This window comes from Homo sapiens, chromosome 3 (genome assembly GCF_000001405.40).
Source record: "Homo sapiens chromosome 3, GRCh38.p14 Primary Assembly".
In the NCBI taxonomy this organism is placed as follows: domain Eukaryota; kingdom Metazoa; phylum Chordata; class Mammalia; order Primates; family Hominidae; genus Homo; species Homo sapiens.
Window position 1 is genome coordinate 128,503,404 of NC_000003.12, and position 24,152 is coordinate 128,527,555.

A 24,152-nucleotide genomic window follows, 5' to 3' on the forward strand; every position below is an offset into this window, starting at 1 on the left:
CCTCCTCACACACCAGCCTCCCGTCTGTCATTCTAGAACCTGACCACTTCCCGCCTCAACAAGCAGCCGGCCTGGTCCTAGCTCTCGCCTGGACTACTGGAATAGCCTCCTTGCTGGAAGTCCTCAACTTCCCCACTTTCTGTTCATAGTACAGTGGCCGGCGGGGGCCCGTGAGGATAGAAGTCAGGCCAGGTGCAGTGGCTCACGCGTGTAGTCCCAGCACTTCAAGAGGCCAAGGTGGGTGGATTGCTTGAGCCCAGGAGTTCAAGACCAGCCTAGGCAACACAGTTAAACCCCATCTCTACAGAAGATACAAAAGTTAGCTAGGCGCAGTGGCGCACGCCTGTAGTCCCAGCTACTTTGAAGACTGAGGCGGGAGGATCACCTGAACCCAGAAGGTCATGGCTTCAGTGAGGCTGATTGTGTCACTGCACTCCATCCTGGGCAACAGAGTGAGACCCTGTCTCAAACAAAAACAAAAAAAGATGTAAGTCAAACCTGTCCCATCTGCGCCACACCCTCCCGCAGCACCCGGGTCCCTCTTGGCCTCTTTGGTCTCATTCCCTTTGCTTGCTCCACTCCAGCCCCACTGGCTTCCTTCTTGTTTCTCAAACAGCTGGCACACATCCACCCCAGAACATTGGCACTAGCTGTCCCTGTACCCAGATACCACATGGCTTCCTCATACTTTGGGCCTGGTCACCTTCTTGGACCACCTCCTGATGAACTGTGGGTGACAGCTGGAGCACAGGTGGGTTCTGGAAGCCCTGCAGCCTGGGGTCAGGATGAAGATTACCCAGGGCCAGCAGGCAAGCCTGAGAGGCCGGTCTCCAGGCTTTGCAGCTCCCGGCAAGAGGTCCCAGAGGTCTTGCCCTTCCAGAGATGAATGCTTGAGGCCCAGAACATGGGGCCATCCGGAGCCAAGGCCTGGGATGTTAGAGGAGGGGAACTCGGGACTCCATGCAAGGACCACGGGTCAGCCCTGTGCCTGTCCAGACCACCTGCATGGGACACAGCAGGGGCCCAGAACTGGGCATCCAGTGGATCACTGCAGCAGCATCTGTGTGTCCATATCCAGGTAGCCGCACCCAGATTTTCCCTCCAGGGACCACCCCCTCCCACTCTCAGTTCAAGGTGGTCCATGTGGAGCACCCACCTCTGGCCCAGCCAGTCAGAGCCATCCTGGCTGATTGATTCTGGGCACATGACTCTGGAGGATCCATGGAGAGTCCAACCTGGAAACTTGGCAAGAATCCTCGGGGACTGCCCTCCTGCTGGGGTCATGTGGCACTGGGAGCTGCGGTGGCCATCTTTACTGCCACCCAGGAGAGCCTGCCGGAGAGTGAGACCAACACAGAGCAGCAGAGACAGAGACAGACTGGCTCCCGAGCGTTCAGCCCCAGTGCCGGAAGCCAGCTAGAGCCCTGGCCTTTTCAGTGACATGAGCCAATGACAACTCCCAGTTCTCTCCCTCCGGTCAATCTGAAGCCGGGTTTTTGCCTCTTACAACTGAAAGAGTCCTGGTGGTCACAGGCATGGCTGATTAAAGATGCCCACCAGGTCTTTGTTACACCCTCATATACTTGGGGCCTTGAATGTGGGTGTGCTCTGAGATGACTTGACCAGGAGAATACGGTAGCAGTGACACTGCAGTTTCCAGCCCAGGCCTGAAGAGATGATTAGCGCCCACTCCTTGCTTCTTGAAAGTCTCTCCTTGGGAGTCCTGGGCTGCTATGTTAAAAATCCAACTGCCCTGAGGCCACCATGATGTGAGGAGGCTGGAGCCAGGTGGAGAGGCCATGGTGGCGAAAGAGCTGCCGGACCAGTTCCCATTGCCCCAGCCCCCAGCCATCTGAGTCATCCCCACTGAGGACACAGATATCACAGAGCAGATACGAGCTATCCCTGCACCGCCCATCCAGATTCTTTACCCAGTTTGTGAGATATAATAATAATGAACTGTTTTAGGCCACTGAGTTTTGGGGTCATTTTTAAAGCAGCAATAGACAGATGGAACAATAGTAATGAGCAAAGGGCCACATATACCTATTGGATTGGGAAGCAAGACAGAGATGGGGCTGCCACTGTGCGCAGGATCGACTCACCTCCTTGGGAATTCTTATACACGCCCGTATGAGTGCAGGATGCATGAGTAGGATAGTGGAGCCGAAAGGGTCTTGATAGCAGATGGCCTTGAATTTGAGTCCCTACTCTGCTGTAAGATCAGCTCTGAGTCCCAGGGCTATGTTATTTCCCCTCCTCGAGCCTCAGTTTCTTCACCTATCATATAAAAATATTAGTACTGTGTTGCTAGGATGAGATTCAGCTGCACATAACAAGGAGATACAAATTTTTTTTTCTGTCATGTGAAAATTCACAGGTAGGCAATCCAGGGCTACTATATCACTCCCTGGTGTCAGAAAGCAAGGTTGGCTTTCGTCGCCTCACATTCCAAGATGGCTGTTACAGCCTCACCATTGTATCTACATTCCAGGGAGCAGCAAGGAGGAAGTGAATAAAGAACAAAATGTTCACATCAGCTGTCTCTTAAGGAAGTCCCCTGAAAGCTGACACATCCACTTGTATCCCATTGGCTAAAGCACAGTCACATGACCATATCTAGCTGCAAAGGAGGCTAGGGAATGTAGTCTTGCTCTGGGAAATCATGTGCTCAGCTAAAATTCTATGGAGGAATAATAGCTTTTGGAAGATACCTGACAGTCTCTGCCAAAAGTATCTATGTCAAGAGTTTATGTAATGACTGACGTGATTTTGAAGAGGTTTTGTTTTGAACCTCTGCTGCATGCCAGTTTCCACAAAACTAACTGCAAAAGACATAATCAGGTCTTTTGTAGGACATGGCACAGGGGCTGACACATAGTAGGTGCCCAGTAAATGAGGCGTCCTTGTTTGCTCTTCTAGCTGCACACCTTGCTGCTCTCCTCAATGGTGTTTCTCTGCCCCAACCCTCCAAGGATGAGCTCCCTCCCCAAGAGGATACCCTGTTTCATTTTCTTCACATCATTTACCATAACTATTTGTTTCTTAATTTGTTCATCATCCATCTCTCTCCACTCTAATATACACAACACGAAGAGAGGGAGAGTATCTCTAGGGTCCCACCAAGGAAATAGAAGTCACTTGAAAAGTGTAAAGCTTAATTTAAAAGTTAAAATTCAGAGATGTGATTGTGCAGGTGATGGAATTGCTAAGAACAGGGGACAATGAGGCAGCACAGAAATTAGGAGCAAGAAGCTGTTACCTCCCCAGGGTTGGAGGGGCAATGGGAGGAGATGGCATTACCAGAGCCCAAGGCCTGGGTGACACAGGGAGACTCAGCAGGCCTGTCCAGTGGGAGCTGTAGCTGTAGGAAAGACAGAGCCACACCAGAGATGCCACCTGAGATGAAGAGGAAGGGGGAGAATACCCTGGCTCCTCCCTTGTTCACTCCAGGGCCTCTCATTGGCTGAATCCAGCAGGAATCCAGCTGGCCTCACACCTTGGGGCTAAGCTCCCCTCCCTGATGGGTGACACAGAGCCAAGGGATGGGATAACAAGAGCTAAGGGCAAACTAGCCCGGGGCTGGCACTGGTGACTTCATCTGTCTTGTTATCTTCTGCATCTGGAGCTTCAAAGGCACAGCCTGGCACACGGTAGGACCTCAATAAACAGTGGATGAATAGATTGGGGTTCTCAACTCACCTTAGCACCTATAGAAGCTGTTTAGAGTCCACAAAACAACTCTTGTACCTGTGAGGGCTCCTAGGTGCTAGGCCCACAAAGGGAGGCATGTTATGGCCGTGGCATTCTGCTTGGCCAGGATCCGAGAGGAGCCTCCCAATTGGAGGATTTAGCCCAAGTTGCTTCATTCCCTGTCCAGTGGAGCCTGGCCTCTCTCTCAGCCTCCATCAACACCCAGAATCCTCCATGATGAGCTCCTATCCCACCAGGGCAGAGAGTGGGCATGTCCTCATCAGGGAGAGAAAGGACAGAGACAGACAGACAGGAAGAGAGAAACAGCCATGCAGCCAGGGCTGGGGCTCTGCTTGCCATTGCCCTCTATGCACTCTAACTGTGGCAAAACCTGTGCAAAGTACATGGATGCTACCAACCACTGGCAAAGGAATAGGAAGCATATTCCTGTGGCCCGGCAAATGCGTGGGGATGGCTTCATCCACATCCTGCAGGAAGAAATTAAATTAATTGACAGGTCCAAATGTGAGTGGACAGGTGGGGCAGCAGGAGCTCTGCACGCCACTGGTGGGAGTGTTTTTTGGAAAGTGCACTTTGTAAGAGAATTTGGCAACACTAACAAGGACGTGTGTACAGGTGAGCTCAGCAGTTCCCTGCACAGGTAAAATCTCAGCAGCATCCACTGATATAAACACAACCACAGTAACAACGCCTGGGAGCCACCCAGGTCCATTCACAGGAGAAAGGATAAATGAACCATGTCATGCCCACACAATGGAATACTCGACAGCAATGAAGACGAACAACAGTGTCACGCATCAACGCAGATGTACCTCCCAACAATACTGTGAGAGAAAAAGGCAAGTCACCAAAGAACACGTATGTATGAGGCCATTCAAATAGCTCTTCTGGATTTCACTCCTGGGGATGTCAAGGACCCACTAGAGTTTCCAAGCCATGTTCACATGTCACCTCCTTGACTAAAGGGACATGACCAATAAATGCAATGTGGGGTCCTGAACTGGATCCTAGAGCAGGACAGAAATAGCTATAAAGGACATTCTTGGGACAATTGACGTTTAGATATGGATTGTGGGGTTCGATCATAGTATCATATCAATGCAAATTGTCCTAGCTCTGATAAGCATATGTGTTTATGTAAGAGAATGTCCTTGTTTTTAGGGAACAAACACTGAAATATACAATAGTAGAGAGGCATCATGTCTCCACCATACTCTCAGATGGTTCAGGAGAAATATGCGTGTGTCTCCGTACATATTAATATAGAGAGAATGGTACAGCCAGTGGGACAAGTTGTAAGCAATTGGTGAATCTAGGTAAAGGGTATATGGGAAATTGCATCAAAATTAAAAGTTATGAACATGGGGGAGAAAACCCAGTTCTTCTATAAAAACAGCCTCCAGCCTCTCCCTCCAGCACAACCTGTCCCCACACGTGGGGCACCCGGCACCCATGCTCTGGCTCTTGTCTCTCTGGGTCTTAGTCCCACTTAGCACCCCACACCCAAAGGTCATGTTTTCACAGATGTGTACCCTCAAGACTAAACACACACTTGAGGCATTCATGTGACTATACATATTTATGGAAAAAGAAAATTCTTGGGCTCACAAAACTGAACGCTCCAGGGTGGACTGTCTCAGGTGGCCTTAATCGGGGTGCTGACAACATCCAGACGAGCACGCAGGCTTCTCTCCCTGCCACGGCGGTGCCATTCTCCAACGGACTCTGCCGCCGTGGCTGCAAGATGGTGGCAGCAGCTCCAACCCCTGCACCCTTTTGTGGCCAAGTCCAGTGGGAAGAATGTGAGGTCTTCTTCCAGAAGCTTCTGCAGATTCTCATTAGCTTCAGCTGGGTCATGTGTCTGTCATCCCTGACCTGGCCTCTGGGGTCAGGAAGGCACCATGGTCAGACTGGCCAGGCCTGAGCCCCAAGCCCCAAGTCCAACCTCTTCACAAAGCACAGCTGGCTGGGGCAGAGCGGTGCCCCCAGTGGAAAATCAAGATGCAGTTTCAGAAGGATGGAAATGGATGCTGGGTGGCGAAACGGCAGAAACCCACCCCGGCCCACGCCCTTGCCTGTCCAAAATCCATGCACATGCTTCTTCCCATGCTCCCTCTGGGGGAGGTGTGCTAGGCAGCACAGATGTATGCACAGCTCCCCACAGATGCCACCCTCATCCTTGGAAACTGTCAATGCCCATGAATTTGTTACCTCACGTAGCAAAAGAGACTTTGCAGATGTAATTAAGGCTGCTCGTCAGTTGACCTTAAAATAGGGAGAGTGTCTTGGATCATCCACATGGGCTCAGTGGGTCACACAAGCCCTTAAAAGCAGAGAACTTTCCATGGCTGGTGGCAGAGGTAGAAAGGACATTGGAAAGAGACAGCATGGGGGAAAGGGAGATTTAAAGCTTGGGAAGGAAGGATGGAAAGCGCGACTGCTGCTTTGAAAACAAAGGAAGCCTCAGGCCACGTAGCAAAGAAATGGAGACCCCAGGCCTGCAATCATAAGCGACTGAATTCTGCTCACAACCCTAATGAGCACCTCCGGGAAAGAGCCCAGCCTGCCAACACCTCGATTTTGCCTTGTAAGCCCCTAAGCAGAAAATACAGTTGAGGCACTCTCTGCCCAGACTTGCAGTGCACAGAAACTGTGATGCTAAATGGATGTTGCTTGAAGCTGCTCAGTTGGTGGCACTTTGTTACAGCAGCAATGGAAAATGAATACTGGAGGTAACACTGTCTCTCCCAGTGACAGGTCCGGCTCCAGGAGCTGGACCCCAGTGACCGTGTTACAGTCTAGGCTTAAGGCCCCCCTCACTCCCAACCTCACCTGTGCAGAGAGGGAAGGAAAAGTGCCATGTCAACCCCCAGTAAGGGAAAGGAGGATGGGAGACCCCTAGCCTGCAGCACATCCAAAGCCCTGCTAGAAAAATACTGAGAAATGTTAGACATTGAGCTACCACAGGACCCAGGATTACAACTCCTGGGTATCTACCCAAGGCAAATGAAAACATGTGTCCCCAGAAAAATTTGCACACAATGTTCATAGCAGCATTATTTATAATAATTGAGAAATGGGAATAGCCCAAATGCCCATCAGCTAATGAATAGATAAACAAAATATGGCATAGCTATACAATGGAATATTATATGGCCCTAAAAAGTAATGAAGAAGCCAGACATAAAAGGCTTTGTGTGATTCCATTTCCAGACAGAAAGCAGATTAGTAGTTGCTGCAGGCTGGCGGGAGGGAGGAATGGAAAGTGGCTGCTAACAGGAACACGGTTTATTCTGGGGGCAATGAAAGTGTTCTAAACTTAGATGTGATGATGGATGTACAACTGCGTGAATATACTAAAAAGCATTGAATGGCATTGAATGGTTCATCTTAAATGGGTGAATTTTATAGTGCGTGAATTATATAGATAAAGATGTAAAAGATTTGTTTAACATCAATAAAGATGTAAAAAAAAAAATGTTGAGTTTCTTGGGCAGCCAGTTCAACTGCCCAGCCCTGCCCTCTAGGAGGAAAACGAGTACTCCCTGCCCACCCTTCACCATTCCCACATCTGAAGTGGGCATTGGGGATCTCAGTTCTCTAGTGGCCAGTTCCTAATGGTGCAGATTCTAGACTGCAGAGATTGCTTGGGCTTGGAAATAACATCACAGACTTTTTCAAAAAAATTTTTGTCTTGTTTTTGTGTTTTGTTTTGCTTTTTGTTTGCTTGTTTGTTTGTTTTTACCAGACTTGAAGTTTTGGGGCAGTACAACTCCATCAAAAAAATTTTGACCTCAAGTGATCTGCCCATTTCAGCCTCCCAAAGTGCTGGGATTACAGGCATGAACCACCGCACCCAGCCTCCATCAAAAATGTATTAGGCATTTCCCTGTCTTTATTTTTAAATATATATATATTGTAGTCTGGGCATGGTGGTTCACACCTGTAATCCTAGCACTTTGGGAGGCTGAAGAGGGAGGCTTGCTTGAGCCCAGGAGTTCAAGACCAGCCTGGGCAACATAGCAAGAGCTCTTCTCTACTAAAAATAAAAATTAAAAAAAATTAGCCAGGCTATGTGGTACATGCCTGTAGTCCTAGCTACTCAGGAGGCTGAGGCAGGAGGATTGCTTGAGCCCAAGAGTTCAAGATTGCAGTGAGCTATGAGTACACCACTGCACTCCAGTCTGGGCAACAGAGCCAAACACTGTCTCAAAAAAAAATTACATATATATATATATATATATATATATATATAGAGAGAGAGAGAGAGAGAGAGAGAGAGAGATGTGTGTGTATATACATATATATACTTCAGGCACACAAAAAATTAGATCGAATAATATAAAAAACACCTATATACCCAACACCTAGCTTATATATTAAGTATTAAAATGTCACCAATACAGTTGAAGCAGGAATACAGTTGAAATTGAAAATGTAGTTAAAATACAATTATAGTTGTAGTTGAAATGTACTACATGCTAGATAGAATGTACAACTTTCTTATGACTTTGGGGTGGGAGGTGATTTTCTGAGCATTGCACAGAAAGCAGAAGCTGTAAAAAGTGAATGCTTCCTTGGATTCCTTGGACTATATAAAAATTTCAACTTCTGCCTGGTGAAGATACTGTAAACAAGTTTAAAAGATAAACAAATAGATCGAGAGAATATTTGCAATGTATACAGTGAATCAATATCTACAATATGCAAAGTGTTCCCAAAAAAAATAAGAAAAAGAAAAAAAAACCAGTAGCAAAATAGGCAATTCACACAGGAAGAAATATAGTGGTCAATTAAGTTATGAAAAGTATGCCCTTATTCATAATCAAATAAATGAAAACTTAAAACAATGATGAGATACCATTTTTCAGTTAGCAGACTGGCAAAAAAAAAATTCATGCAAATAACAAGAGCAATAATATCCATCCAACGGCAAGCCTACAGGAAAGTAAGCATTCTTCTACACTATTGGCAGGAATATAAATTGAAGCAACCTTTTTGGGAGAGCAATTGCCTGGAATCTATGTTAATGTAAATTGTACATACCCACAATCACACCCTTAGTAATACAGTGTTCAGAAATACTAGCACTTAAGAAAATAAATGAAAAAACAATAAAAGCATTAGAAACATCTTTTTTTTTTTTTTTTTTTTTTGAGATGGAGTCTCACTCTGTCGCCCAGGCTGGAGTGCAGTGGTGCGATCTCGGCTCACTGCAACCTCCGCCTCCCAGGTTCATGCCATTCTCCTGCCTCAGCCTTCCGAGTAGCTGGGACTACAGGTACCCACCACCACGCCTGGCTAATTTGTTATATTTTTAGTAGAGACAGGGTTTCACCGTGTTAGACAGGATGGTCTCTATCTCCTGACCTTGTGATCCGCCTGCCTCGGCCTCCCAAAGTGCTGGGATTACAGACGTGAGCCACCACGCCTGGCCAGAAACATCTTTAAGTCCATAAATATGGACTGATTAAATAGATGTTGATTATAACCACAACATGGCTTTTCATCCACCTTTTTAAATAATTGGTTCATTTATGTGCTGATAGGGAATGTTTTCCACAATTTCTTTACAAGTCACTCCACAGCTACTTCAGTGGGGGAGCAGGGAGTGTATATATGGGAACTCTCTGTACCTTCTTCCCAATTTTGCAGAGAACCTAAAACTGCTCTAAAAAAATTGAGTATTTAAAATCAAATTTTAGAATAATAGACATATTATGGCCCCATTCATATTTTAAAACCGTGTATGATATTATGTGTATATATATATATATATATATATGTCCATTCTTTAGGGTTACCTATTTGTCTAAAAGTGGCATCATTTGAATTGTAATAACAAACATTATATTTCTTTTGTAATCTAAAAAAACACCTTAAAAATCTAATAAAGAATGTATTATAAGGCTGGGCACAGTGGCTAACCCCTGTAATCCCAGCAGTTTGGGAGGCCAAGGTGGGCAGATCACTTGAGGTCAGGAGTTCAAGACCAACATGGCAAAACCTCGTCTCTACTAAAAATACAAAAATTAGCTAGATGTGGTGGTGCACGCCTATAATCCCAGCTACTTGGGAGGCTAAGGCAAAAGAATTACTTCAACCCAGGAGGCAGAGGTTGTAGTAAGCCAAGATGGTGCCATTACACTCCAGCCTGGGCAACAGAGAGAGACTTTGTCTAAAAACACAACAAAAAAAGAATGTATTATAAGTATGTGATTAAAATAATAAAAATGAAGTCTATTTTATAATTCTTCTTTTATAGATTGTGCCTTTTGTGTCTTATTTTTAAAATCTTTGCTTAACCCAATGTCACTAAGATTTTTTTCCTATGTTTTCTCCCAGACTTTGAGAGTTTTCGCGCTTATGTTTAGATCTATAATCTCTTTTGGTTAATTTTTTAGAATGTTGCAAGATAAAGGTTAGATTTTTTTTTTACCATAATGATATTTACTTGTTTGAGCACCATATGTCTAAATAGCAATATTTTCCCCCATTGAAGTACCTTGGTATTTTTGTAAAAAATCAATTGGCCATATAAGTGTGAGTATTTTTGGTTTCTTCTTCATTGATCAGGAGTTTGAGACCAGCCTGATTTATGGTTTATCCTTACACCAATACCACAACATCTCGATTACTATAGCTTTCTAGAAAGGTTTGAAAGCAGATTGTGTTATCTTTCTGAACTTCATCTTTTTCCAAGATTATTTTGGCTCTTCTAGGTCCTTTGCCATTCTATATAAATTTTTTAATTAAGCTGTCCATTTCTCTTCTTAATAAAGATGTGGGATTTTGATTTGGATTGCAATGAATGTATAGATCAATTTGAGGATAATTATCATCTTAACAATATGGGGGCTTCCAGTTCATGCATGTGGGTATATCTCTCCATTTAGTTAGATCTCCAATTTCCCTTTGTGAGGTTTCATAGTTTTGAGTGTACAGATCTTGCACATCTTTTGCTCAATTTATTCCTAAGTGTTTTATCTTTAGTGATATTGTAAACTGAGTTATTCTTTAAATTCCACTTTCCAATTGCTCATTGATAGTATATAGAAATATGATGGATTTCTATATGTTGGTTTTTATCCTAAAAACTTGCTATATTCACTTATTACTTCTAGCTTTCCCTAGCCCCCATTCCTTAAGAGTTTTCTGTGCATGCAATCATGCTGTCTAAAAATAAAGACAATTTTACATCTTTCTTTTCTATACTTATGCCATTTATTTCTTTTTCTTGCCTTATTACATTGGCTAGGACCTTCAGTATAAATGTTGCCTAGAAGCTGTGAGAGATGTCTGCACCTTGTTCCTAATCTTAGTATTGAGCCTTTCATCATTGAGGATCATGTTAACTGTAGGTTCTTCATGGATGTCCTTCATTAAACTGAGGACACTCCCTTCTGTTCCTCTTTTGCTGAGAATTCTTATTGGGAATCAGTGTTAAATCTGATTGAATGCTTTATCTGCATCTTTCAAAATAATCATATGGTTTCCACCTCTTATTGTATTAATGTAATGAATTTCTTTGATTTTTGGATATTGAATCAACTTTGCCTCCCTAGAATAAGCCCTACCTGGTAATGATGTTATCTTTTTCATATATTGCTGTATTCAATTTGTTAATGTTTTGTTGAAGACATTTTCATTTATGTTCATGAGGGATTTGGGTTCCTAGTTTTCTTTTCTTGTGATGCTCTTGTCTGTTTTTGCTATCAGGATAATACTTACCTCATAAAGTTGGTTGAGAGGTATTTCTTCCTCTTATATTTCCTGAAATAGTTCATGTAGGATGGTGATGATGATGATGATGATGATGACTATGAGACAGGGTTCATCTCTGTCACCCAGGCTGGAGTACAGTGGCACTAACATGGCTCACTGCAGCCCGGGTGCAAGCGATTCCCCTGCCCCAGCCTCCCAAGTAGCTGGGACTGCAGGTGCACACCACCAAGCCTGGCTAATTTTTTATTTTTTTTAGAGATGGGATTTCAACATGTTGCCCAGGCTGGTCTCAAGCTCCTAGGCTCAAGCGATCCCCCCCCACTTCAGCCTCCCAAAGTGCTGGGATTATAGGCCTGAGCCACCGCACCTGGCCAGGATTTATATTATTTTTTCCTTAATGTTTTCTTGTGGAAAGGTTTTAAATGACAAAATCAATTTCTTTAATTGATAGAGAACTATTCAAAAGTTCTATTTCTTCTGGACCAGTTTTGGCAATTCATGTCTTTCAAGGCAATTGTCCATTTTATCTAGGTAGCCAAATTTATTGGCACAAATTTGTTCACATTTTCTTATAATCCTTTAAATGCCTGTAGGATCTCTAATGATGTCTCTTCTTTCATTCTTGATATTGGTAATTTGTATCTTTTTTCTTGAGCAATCAAGTTGTAGGCTTATCAATTTTATTGTTCATTTAGAAGAACCAGATTTTGGATTCACTGATTTTATCTATGATTTCTCTATTGTCTATTTCATAGATTTCTGTTCATTTTACTTCTTTTTTCAACTTATTTTGTTCTCTTTTTCTGATTTCTTAATGTTGGAACTCAGATCAAGCCTCAAACTTGGAAAAAATACTTGAAAAAAATAGATATCTGGTAAGGGCTTGTATCCAGAATTTAGTTTTTCTAAAAACAAATCTCCTACAGTTCAATAATAGGACATGCTATCTGATTTTTTCTTTAGTGGACAGATGATTTGAACAGCCACTTCATAAAAGAAGATGTATGAATGCCCAGTAAGAACATGACAAGATACTCAACATCACTTGTCTTTAAGGAACTGCAAATTAAAGGCACTATATACTCACAAAAAATGGCTAAAGTTAAAAAGACTGACAATAACAAGCGTTGAAGACCATGTGGAGCAACTGTAACTTTCATACACTGTGGGAATGCAAACTGGTATAGCTACTTTGGAAAACAGTATGGCAGTGTTTTATAATATTAACCATAATTTATCATGTTACTCAGCAAATCCACTCCTAGCCATAGATACATAAGGGAAATGAAAACATGTCCATGCAAAGACTTCTATGCAAGTGTTTATGGCAGCATTATTCATAATAACCCCAAACAGGAAGTAGCCCATATGGCCCCCAGCTGGGGGAATGGGTAAGCAAATTTGTGGTATATCCATAGTATGAATTATTACTCAGCAATAAAAAGGAATAAAATATTAAATCACACAATGACAAGAATCAATTTCAAAAACATGCTAAAGAAAAGAAGTCAAACACAAAAGATCATATATTGTATGGTTCTTTTTAATGAAATTCTAGAAAATGCAAAATAAAGCACTCAATCATCAAAATTCATCCAACACTACAATTTTATTGTATGTAATTTATATCTCAATAAAGTTATTTTAAAAAATAAGTATTTTTAAAACCCAATAAAGGAGTTTTTCTTTTTCTTTTTAAAATATTTTAATTTTTTAATTTTTTTAGTTCACCTTACAGTGCAGTATGCTTTCCCAGTTTTTGCTGGGAGAAAAGTTGGTTGATTGGAGAATCTCAGTGCATGCTCTTGTCCTCCCACTGCTGCAAGCTCAAACTGAGCTATTAGCAGTAATTGCAGCAGGCAGAATAATGGCTGCCTCACAGATGCTCCTGTCATATCACCAGAACCTGTGACTATGTCACCTCACATGCCAAAGGGACTTTGCAGATGCGATCAAATTAAGGATCTTGATATGGGGAGATGATCATGAGTTATCCAGATGGGCACCATGCAATCACAAGGGTTCCCATAAGAGGGAGGCAGAAGTGGGGTCAGAGGAGACAGCCACATGAGGCTGGAAGCAGAGACTGGAGAAAAGATAGAGGAAGGGGGCATGAGCCAGGCAGGCAGGCAGCTACTAGAAGCTGAAAAAGGAAAGGAGTCAATCTTCCTCTCAGAGCCTGCAGAAGGAACCAGCCCCGCCCCCCACCCCAACACCTTGACTTTAGGACTTCTGGCCTCCAGAACTGCAGGATAATAAATTTGCATTGTTTTAAGCCACCATGGTAATTTGTTAAAGTTAAGAACAGGAAACTAACACAGCAATAAAAGGGAATGAACTACTGATACATGCAACAACATGGATGCACCTCAGTTGCACTGCGTGAAGGAAGCCAGGATCGAAGGTCACATACTGTGTGGTTCTGTTTATATGACATTCTAGCAAAACTACAGAGACAGGGACAAGATTATCTAGGCCCATCCCAGATCAGTAGAACCACTCAGGTGTTCCTATGGACTCATTGCAATAACAGATGGTTGTCACTTTAGGCCACCAAGCCTTGGAGTGGTTTCTTACGCAGCAGTGCTAACTGATAGAGCAGGGAGAAAGTCCTGCAACGGTGCCAGGGGCTCGGTGTTGAGACCAACTTTGGAGAGAAGGTTGCAGGAGCAGAGGCAGTGAGAGTGACTGAGGCTCAGGAGTAGGTTAGGGTGGGAGCCAGTCTGGTCCTTCTTCCCTTAGCAAAGGTTGCTAGAGGCCACTATCTCTGTTGCCAGAGTCTCTGTCCTGGAGTACTTGCCCAGTTGCCTCCACCCACCTGGGCCACACTCCATCCCTGATGCCCCCCAGGGTTCCGTGGCCAGTCCTGCCTCCTGAGAGCCTGCCTTCCCCCACGGTAGATTTCCTTCTCCATCTCAGCCTCTCCTCATGCCTGGAGCACCTGCTGAGCCCAAGGGGGGCCAGGCTGGGCCAGGCTTCTGTGCCCGCTCCTTGGCAGCACACAGCCCTATGCAGTGCAGTGCCAAAACCATATGTCTCTGGGGGCTGCCTCAACTGGAGGAGCTGCCTCCACACATCCACCCTTAGGAGGGTAGCCTCCCAGGGAACATGATCAGCAGCTTCCTGATGGGCCGGGGGTTTGCAGGGCAGAGAGGCAGCCAGCTCTGGGGAAGCCCTGGGGCTGAGCCAGGCAGTTGAGGGAGGGGGCAGTGGGCTATTGGACTAGAATTTTAAAACTGATATTCATTGACTTCTTACTATTCTGAGTGTCTTATGTCTATGATCTCATGTAATCCCCACAAAATGAGTCAGGTACCATTTTATGCAGATTTTACATATGAGGAAACTGAGGCACAGAGAGGTTGAATAACTTGCCCAATAATATCACACAACTATCATGAGCAGAGCCAGAACACGAATCCAGCTGCAGAACAGGTGCTCCCAGCCATGACATCCACCTGCCTGAAGCCCCCACATTTTAGGTCTGATGTGCTTCCGGCTCCAGCACATCCATCACACCCCATATGACAAGACAGCGGAAGGCAGCCAGGGACAAGGTTAACTTCCTGACCAGCAAGTGGCTGAGACAGGCAGTGTGGAAGAGGGCTGAGGATCCTTAGGTTCAAGTCCTGATACTGCCATTTACTCACTGCAAGACCTTAGCCAGATGGTCTCACTGCCTTGTGCCTCAGTTTCCCCAGCAGTGATGGTGGTTTTATGTGTCCATTGGGCTAGGCTACAGTCTCAGTTCTTCAATCAAATACAAGTCTGAGTGTTGCCATAAAGGTATTTCACAGGTGGGATTAAAGTAGTTCATAATCTGTTGACTTTTAAGTAAAGCAGATTAGCCTAATCACTGGGGTGGGCTGGACTCCATCATTTGAAAAGCCTTAAGGGCAGAGCTGAGGCTTTCCAGAAGTTCCATCTGTGGACAGCAACTTCGTGCCATCCCTCCCTACTCCCACCCCCATCTCATAAGCCAATTCCTTGCGATAAACATCTTGCTGTAGATTTCCCCCTGGTTCTGCTTCTCTGGTTGAACCCTGGCCGAGAGACTGTCTGAAAGTGGTGGACACTACAGCCTGCGCCACAGGATGGTAGTGAAGGTGAAATGCGCTCATATACATAAGGTGTTTAAAATCACGCCTGGTACAAAGTGAGCTCCAAATAACCTTTACAGCACAAAATGGCTACAAAACACATTTTATAATGACCTTGGTGGCCAGGCCCTGCTCTGTGCCACCAGTTCCACAGCAGGCTGGCTCCAGCAGGGTGCAGAACACAGCTCCCTCAGGCAGCCCCATCCTGGAGCGACCCCGGGAGTACAAATAAAGTGTGGTGAGGGGCTTCCAGGTGCAAGAAGCTTCCTGTGCCCCATTTCTCAGAGCACAGGGTCTGTCCAGGGCCCCAGGCTGCCCCTTACCCCCAGCCGAGACAACCAGGGAACAGGGCTCTCACGATCCTCCCACCTGTCCCTGCTTCCTGCTTCTCCTCCCTGCGCTGCAGGGGCCACTCATGGAGCACCCAGTGTGCATCGTATCTTAGCTTGGATGTCACCTCTTCAGAGAGACCTGCCCAACCACCCTTCCTAGAATCACAGCCCCCAGGGCACAGCATGGTACAAACTCACTTTTAACTTATTACTGTGAAAAATTTCAAACCTACACAAAAGTAGAGAGAATGAGATACTCCCTACCATGCCCTCTGAGACAGTAGACAGAAGAATGCCCCCTCAAAGGTGTCCACATCCTAATCCTAGAACCTGGGAATATGTCACTTTACATGGCAAAAGGGACTTAGCAGGTGTGACTAAGGTTAAGAATCTTGAGATGGGAGGTGATCCTGGATTATCCAGTAGTAAAATGTGCATTGTGGGGAGTCTGTCTTTATGAGATTGCTCTTTTTATTTTTCTGTATTTTAAAACTTTTGCAAACTGAAACGGTGGTGGGGGTGGGGAGGAGATGTTTGTGCCAGACCCAGTGCTGCATACTGGGAGGATGGGGCTGGATAAGGTGGAGATTAGGACCTGCAAGGGCTCATAGTTTTGGTGAATGGCATGTTGGACACCTTGACCCTCTCAGCTGCCGCAATTTCATGAATTTCCTGGTGCCACAGAGAAATCAATTATTTTGAAGTCAGACAAATCTGGGTTCAGATTCTGAGACTGTCATTTACTGGCCATGTGATTTTTCCATAAGACAAATAATTGCTCTGAACTTCAGTGTCCACCTCTGTAAAATGGGATAATACTACTAATTTACAGAAAATCTGTGTATAATACAAACTATAATAGCAAGTCCCTGGCACTGAGAAAGTCCTGGATAAGGAATAGCTACTGTTGTGAATAGAGCTTTTAAGTCCATTGCCCCTTCTCCAGCTCCTATCCCCAGAGGATCTTCCTGCAGATGTGGGGAGCTGGGTGGTGTGGAGACAAACAGTCGGACATCAGCATCAGAGAGACCTGGGTTCAAATCCCATCTTCACCCCTTAGTAACCATGTGACTTTGGGTGAGTCACTCAAACAATATCTGCTCCCTGCTGAGTAGCGGAGATCGAAGTGAAAATGTGTGTGTTTTGCGGTGCCCGACACATGGTAGGCCTCATAAATGATGGTCATTGTGACACTGAGGACTGGCTCCTGCTTCCCAGCCCACTGGGAAGAAGCTCAGTCTAGCCTAGATTAATCCTCCTCATGATTCCATGCTGGGGCAGAGGCTGCTCACTCTTCCTCAATATCCATTTCCTTCTTCTTTCCTTAGTAGCAGGACAAAGCCTACATGCCCAGCCTCCTTTGCACTTCAGAGTGGACACAAGATTCGTTGAACCGAGGGGAAATAAGCAAAAGTTACACCTGAACCTCCAGGTCATACCTTTAAGGGATAGTGGTGTGTCTCCATCCCTTCTCCCCTTCCTACTGGCTGGAATGAAGATGTGATGGCAGAAGCTGGTGTAGCCACCTTGGGTTAGAAGGTAAAAGGCTCAGATGAAAGGGGCAGAGGCACAAGATAGAAAGAACCTGGGTCCATGTTCATTGTGGACACACAAATCAGTCTAGGACCACCAAGTTGGGCTTTTCCTTGAGAGAGACATAGACATTGCTTTTGTTTAAGCCACTGTCATTTCTGGATCTTTGTCATAGCCACTGAACTTGAGTACTATATTGAGTAGGCATGGACATGTGCCACAGTTGTGGCCACTGGACATGGGAGGTGGTCTTCTGGGGAGCTTTGGGGGAATTTTTTCCTCTTCCTAAAGGTGCACAGGAAGGGACCCTGCCTTCACCTGGCTTTTGGACATGGCTGTGATATGAATCCTGGAGTCGATGCAGCCACCTTCTGACCTTGAAGAGCCAATCCTAGGGAGGAAAATGAACCTGCCAAGGCTGGCAGAGGGGAAGATGGACAGTCAAGGGGTTCTTGATGATGTCCCCCGTCCACTGTTTAAACCAGCCCAAGAATGCATGCCTCCAGACTCCCTGTGACATGAGAGAACCACTCTTTGATGCATAAGCCAGAAGTCGCCAGGCTTTCTGTTACTTGCGGCAGAAATAACAGGATATTTTGGGAGCCTCCTCAGGGGCTCATGCGTCCTCAACAAAACTGCCCCGGGCTGAATGCTGAAGGGAGCTTCAGGACTTGGATTCTTCCTGCCTTGGTGCAAGGGGCTGGGACTCTTCTGGGACCGCCAATCCTCATCATGTCTCTCAGCAACCAGGCATGCCGAGAGCTGGGAAAGCTCTACTGCTCCCAACATCAGGATTCATCAGGCATCCGTTAGGCTGTATGTGGACTCAATTCTCTGAGCCTCTGTTTCCTTATCTGCAGAATAAGTTCATATATATAACAGTCTCTCTTACAAGATCTTTGTGTGAATCAAATCAGATAATGGATTATTTTCTAAGCTTGTTGTATGTCAGTTTACCCTACTAGAAGAGTGATTTCTTGAGGGCAAATGAATGGCCATGATATCTATATAATCCACAGACCTGTGACATGGCCTTACACCAGCCAGATACTCAGGAAATGTTTACAGGGGAATGTTAGGCATGACCTATCAGGGCACTGCATTTCTCTCAAGGCACAGCGATTGGTTCAGAGATGGCCAAACCCAAGTCACTCAAGCCAATTAAAGTGAGTCCCAGGACTTTTGCTTGGACAGCTGGAAAAGATATTAATTTTCCCACTTACCTCTTTAACAGTGGGGAGTATGAAGCCAGAACTGCTGCAGTTAGTTTGCCACACCAGAGGAGAGGCTTCCTGAGAATGGAGTCATGCAGAGCAAGCAGACCCCAGAGACAGATAGAAAGCAAACAAGGTTTTCACAGCATCATTTAAGCCCCCGGATCAAACCATACCTAAAGACCACCCTTAGATTTTTTTTCTGTTACATGCAGCAACACCTCCTTTCTCCCCAACCTTTTTTTTTATTTTAAAGAGAGTTTGGATCCCTACTGCTGCAATGAATAACAGAAGGGCATTTGGTAAATGATTCAACCCTAGACATGTGTTTGAAATCACTCCTGCCGGATAGGTGAGCAAAACTGCTGACGGCTAGTCCCGGTTTTGCTCCGCCTAGACATGGTGTGGTAAAGGCAAACCTTTGCTATGGGAGTTATAAGGCAATCAGAAGGTTTCCTCTTTCCAAAAATGTCCTAGACATCTTCCAAAGTAGAGTAATTCACAAGTGTTTATACCAAAGGCAAACTCTCCATCCAATGTTCTATCTCCTGAGTGGGGATGTCCTCGCCAGAAAGCCTCAGTTAGACGCTGGTCTTTCACACTTGTCTGTAATGGCCAACCACTCTCTCCTTCAGCCCGACAGTGCCTTTCTTGGTTTAAGCCAGTGCAAACAATGCTCCAACACGGGCAGCCGGATGGGAGAGGCTGGACGGGAAGAAGCTGGAAGAGACTGGCTTCAATGGGGAGCAGAGCATCTGCCGGTTGGAATCCTACGTGTTTGCTTTTGTTTAGTTGGGCCCCTCTGTGCCCCTGTGGTCCGAGTACTTGCTAGGTGGGCTCCCTCCGGAGCAGGCTCCAAGAGGTCTATTGAAGAGCCCTCAAAATCAGCATCTGGTTGCAGGAACAAGGAGGCAGGATTGAGCAGAGGGAGAAGTTGGGCTGTGGCCACCACAGAGGCTCAGCCAATCTCATGAGGCTGAGCAGGGAACCTGTGAGACTCACCACAGTGCTCACTACACTCCCAACTCCCACAGCAACTTTTGCAGGAATGGGAATGTCCCCAGTCCTCTCTCCGCCCTTGGCTCCTTTTCCCCAGAGATTCCTCACTTCTGGTTGGGAACACCACAAAGCCATGTGGATCACCCTCATCCCTGGAACGATGGGGCCCAAATGCCTATGGACAAATGTGTGGACAAATGCCCCCCGGGCTCTGATGCTCTCTGGAGACAGCCAAGCCCTAAGCACTGGCCATTCACAGCTCTCTGTGGTGAGAGACGCACAGGCTGGTGCAGTTTCCTGTCTCTTCCTGCATGAGGGTGAACTCTCCCTCTCTCCTCTCAGGTGGCTATGGGTCCACCTGTCCTCCGGACTAGCTCTGGAGCCCCCCCTCCCATGCCTCCTGGAACAATGCTGAGCTTCCCCCGTGTGTCTGCAGGTCCTTTCCAGGCTTGTGGCCTGTGTGGGATCCAGCCTGTGGACTGAGGGTGGCTGTCTCCCTCCAGTGGGACTTCGGGGCCTATCTCCACCTGATCCCCAAGAGGATGGTGTCCTCTCAGAGGACAGTGGGGCCCCAGGAGCCTCCTGCGCTGCCCAGCTGGGGGTGCATGCAGGGCCTGGGGAGAGGCGGTGTCCTGTGGAAGGCTCCTGGGAGGCGCTGTCAGAGTCTCACTCTCAGACTTCCTCCCGCCGCTGTGGGAGGCCTGGCTGTGCCCGCGACGTGTGTGGCACAGCGGGCTGGGTTGCAAAATATATCTGGCATGGCAGTTGGTGAAGTAGTTATGCAACCACCACCAACTTACGGAAACCACCGAGCGATGTGCCTTGCTAGCAGAGGTGCCTGGCTTGGCCACGCTGGCCACAGACTCTGGTTCCGTGTTGGCAGTGTGAAAAGTGGCCCAGGCTGTGGAGTGTCGAGAACCATGACAGGTCTTCCCTGAAGTCACCCTGGGAGCACATGACCCACGAGACCCCGGCAGAGCTGGCATCTTCTCCTCCAAGGATCTCCTTCCCATTCTACAGAATCCAGAAGACAGCCTCATCTGGTTATCAGCAGCCGATCCTCCCTAGGAGGCCCACCTCAGAGGGGACAGGCCCAGCCCGGGGCAAGGGTCTCGAGGAGATAACTGCAAAAGGGAGGTGGCTGGAGGCCCACCCTTTGAGGAGCTGAGGTGGCTCAGCCTGGAGAAGGGCAGTGCTGGGCACCCTCTCACCATCCCTCTAAGGAAGCAAGCGGCCTACAGGGCACAGATGGCAACACTGGGGCTTGTGGGGAACTCCCACAGAGGAAGATTCCAGCTCCATATCCACAAGAACTTCCTCCTGCCCAGAGCTTCCACAGATGAGATGGAATGCTGAGAAGGATGTCCTAAAGGGAACCCCCAGCATGTCTGTGCCCCTGGCCTGAAAGTGCTCTTCACCCATCAGGCTGCTCAGCAGAGTGAGGAGAGGAATTCTGAGACCAAGCAGGGAACCCGGTGAGGAGGAGGCCCCTCCCCTCCCCACTGAGTCCCTCCAGCTCCCCTGAGCCTCCACGTCACCTGCCCCAGGGAGAAGTGGGCTGAGCACGGGCTTTGAAGCCAAACCCACCTGGAGCTGATCCCAGCTCGGCCACCTACCCTCTGTGTGGCCCTGCACAAGTCCCTTCCCTTCTCTGAGCCTCTGAGGATTACATGCCATAACGGACAGGAAGTCCATGCTCAGGAGAAGGAAAGTTCATGTTATTTCAAGCTCACACCTGGCTGCCTTCAGCCCTCAGGCTGAAACCTTGCACATTAGACTCACCACCTCCTGGGCTGATAAAATGGACATCAGGTTGGAATGCATCCTTCTAGATGTTTTCATATGCCCTATGTACATATGTATGCATAGCCAGAGGAGGGTTATGATGCTTTGCACAGTACTCGGTACCTTGCTTTTTGCACTCAAAGATTTGTCTTAGAGACCTATTCATGCTAATAAATAGAGCCACTCATTCTCCTTAACTACTACATTATTTAGTGAATGGCTACATCATGGTTTACTTAGCTCTTCCTCTATGATTGGACACTGACGTTATTCCTATTGTTTCGCTCTTACAAACAATGGCTATCTTCACTGATGCCTTCTGGTGTGTATACACAAAGGCTACTTTGAGAATACCCAAAGAAGGGGAATCTCTATGTCAGACAGGATGCACATTTGTCAGTTTAATAGATACAGGCCAGTGAAAATTCATTAGTAAATAAATACAATTTTCAATTCAGCCGCGTTAACACCAAAGGCAAGTTTCAGGTGTTGTGGGTTTTTTTCTTAATTGTTAAGTTGCCTTTAAAATTCCACAATGAATGCATGCTCCTTGTAAAAAATAGATGCCCATATTTTTTAAGCGCAATTTCCACCCTTCCTAGCCCATTCCCTTCTCCCAGTTGTGAACAGTGGACACATATTTGCTATGCATTTGCAAACACACAAATCAATACGAATTTTTTTACATAAATGAGATATAGATAGACAGATATAAAACTTGATTTTCTACTTTACTGACATATCTTGGACATCTTTCCATGTTAGTAGATTCATATCTGGATCTTTACTTTTAATGGTTACATAGAATTTTATTATAAGAAGGACTATAATAAATTTACTCAGTCTCTTATTGATAGACATTTTCATTCTTTTCCATCTTTTGCTATCATAAACGAAATTGCAGTGAACGTTCTTGCACATGCATCTTTGTAAGCTTTGAAAATACATTGAACTAAAGCAAACAAAACTAATCCTGGAAACGTTGACAGACAGGTGTTAGAAGACAGAAATTCACTACACTTTGGGGAAAGGCTGGTGACTAGGAAGGGATCCCAGAGGGTCTCTGGGATCCTAGGATGGTCTAATTCTGGTTACAAGGGTGTGTTCTGTTTCTGAAAATTCACCAGTTGTGAGTTGTGCGTTTTTCTATATGTATTTTACTTTTCTGTATGTATGTTACATGTAAAATTTTACTTTAACATGGTAAGTGAAAAATATATATATATAAGTTTTTCAGAGGAAATGTGAGAGATGACTGAAACTCTATAACAAGTTAAATTCTTTTTTATTTTAATTTTAGTTTCAGGGGGTACATGTGCAGGTTTGTTTCAAGGTATATTTCAGCCGGGTGCAATGGCTCAAACCTGTAATCCTGGCACTTTGGGAGACCAAGGCAGGAAGATCCCTTGAGGCCAGGAGTTCAAGACCAGCTTGGGCAACATGGTAAAACCCCATGTCTACCAAAAAAAATTTTTAAAAATAGCCAGGCATGGTGGTGTGCACCTGGAGGCTGAGGTGGGAGGACTGCATGAGCCCAGGAGGTCAAAACAACAGGGAGCCATGACTGTGCCACTGTACTCCAGCCTGGGCAACAGAGCAAGACCTTGTCTCAAAAAAAAAAAAAAAAAAGAGGGGAGGGTATATTTCATGATGCTGGAGTTAGGGCTTCTGTTGATCCTGTCACCCAGAGAGTGAACATAGTATTCAATAGGGAGATTTTTAGTCCTTGCCCTTCTCCCTCCCTCCCTCCTTTTGGAGTCCCCAGTGTCTGTTCTCATTTTCATGTCCATGTGTACCCAAGATTTAGCTTCCACCTGTAAGTGAGAACATGAGGTATTTGGCTTTCTATTTCTGCATTAATTCATTTATGATAATAGCTTCCAGCTGCAGCCATGTTGCTGCAAAGGACATGATTTTGTTCTTTTTTATGGCTTCATAGTGTTCCATGGTGTACATGTGCCACATTTTCTTTATCCAATCCACTGCTGATGGATTGACTTTCAAGTTGATTTTATGACTTTCCTATTGTGAATAGGACAAGTTAAATCCTAATTTATGCACAACTTATATACTGAACATGGTTATACAGTTTGCTTGCAGACGTTGAATAAGTAACCAGGGGAAGCATAGGGTGGAATGGAACTAAATGTGCTTAGGGACTTATAATTCCAGGGAGTTCAGAAAAACTTTCCTGAGGAACTAATGTTTAAGCTGAAACCTAAAAGATAATGAAGCCTGTTTCTTCTGTCCTTTTTCTTGTGTTTTCAATCACACCCCATCTTCTCATTTGCCTGGTGATTTTTAATTGCGTGCCAGACATTGTCTATGAAAACCTATAGAGATAATATAAAGTTCTGAATGATGGTATCTTTCTTTAGAAAGGATTTACATTTGCTTCTAGAGAACAGCCAGGGTAGAAACATTACCAGTCTTCGATCATCTCAATCCAATCGTGGAGATAATTCAAAACTAAGCATCAATCCCAATGAGAGATGGCCTATTTCTGATTCACTCTTGCTTGGTTTTTAATAACAGTTCTATTGAGATATGATTCACACACTATACAATTCACCCATTCAAAGTGCAAAATTCAGTGGTGCTTAATATATTCATGGATTTATGCAAGCATTTCTAAATCAATTTTAGAATGTTTTCATAGCTCAAAAAAAAAATTCACATCCTTTAACTATCACCCCTCTTATCACCCCCATATGCCCTACCTCTAAGCAACCACTAATCTACTTTCTGTC

At 45.5% G+C, this 24,152-nt stretch overlaps 1 long non-coding RNA gene across 1 annotated transcript, besides 2 other annotated features; it reads left to right on the forward strand.

Moving 5' to 3' along the window:
• Window positions 789–1,988: an enhancer, noted in NCBI's record as "MED14-independent group 3 enhancer chr3:128223035-128224234 (GRCh37/hg19 assembly coordinates)". NCBI's record gives its function as "activates an origin of replication core promoter dependent on BRD2, BRD4, P300/CBP and CDK7 cofactors, and independent of MED14, by STARR-seq in HCT116 cells {active_cell/tissue: HCT116}" and the evidence as "EXISTENCE:reporter gene assay evidence [ECO:0000049][PMID:35650434]".
• Window positions 4,432–7,192, forward strand: LOC90246 (uncharacterized). Its single transcript, NR_026954.1, has one exon. It is a non-coding gene; the product is annotated as an uncharacterized LOC90246 (long non-coding RNA).
• Window positions 21,195–21,694: an enhancer, noted in NCBI's record as "H3K4me1 hESC enhancer chr3:128243441-128243940 (GRCh37/hg19 assembly coordinates)". NCBI's record gives its function as "activates a minimal SCP1, AML or CMV promoter by ChIP-STARR-seq in naive H9 embryonic stem cells {active_cell/tissue: H9 hESC(naive)}" and the evidence as "EXISTENCE:reporter gene assay evidence [ECO:0000049][PMID:30033119]".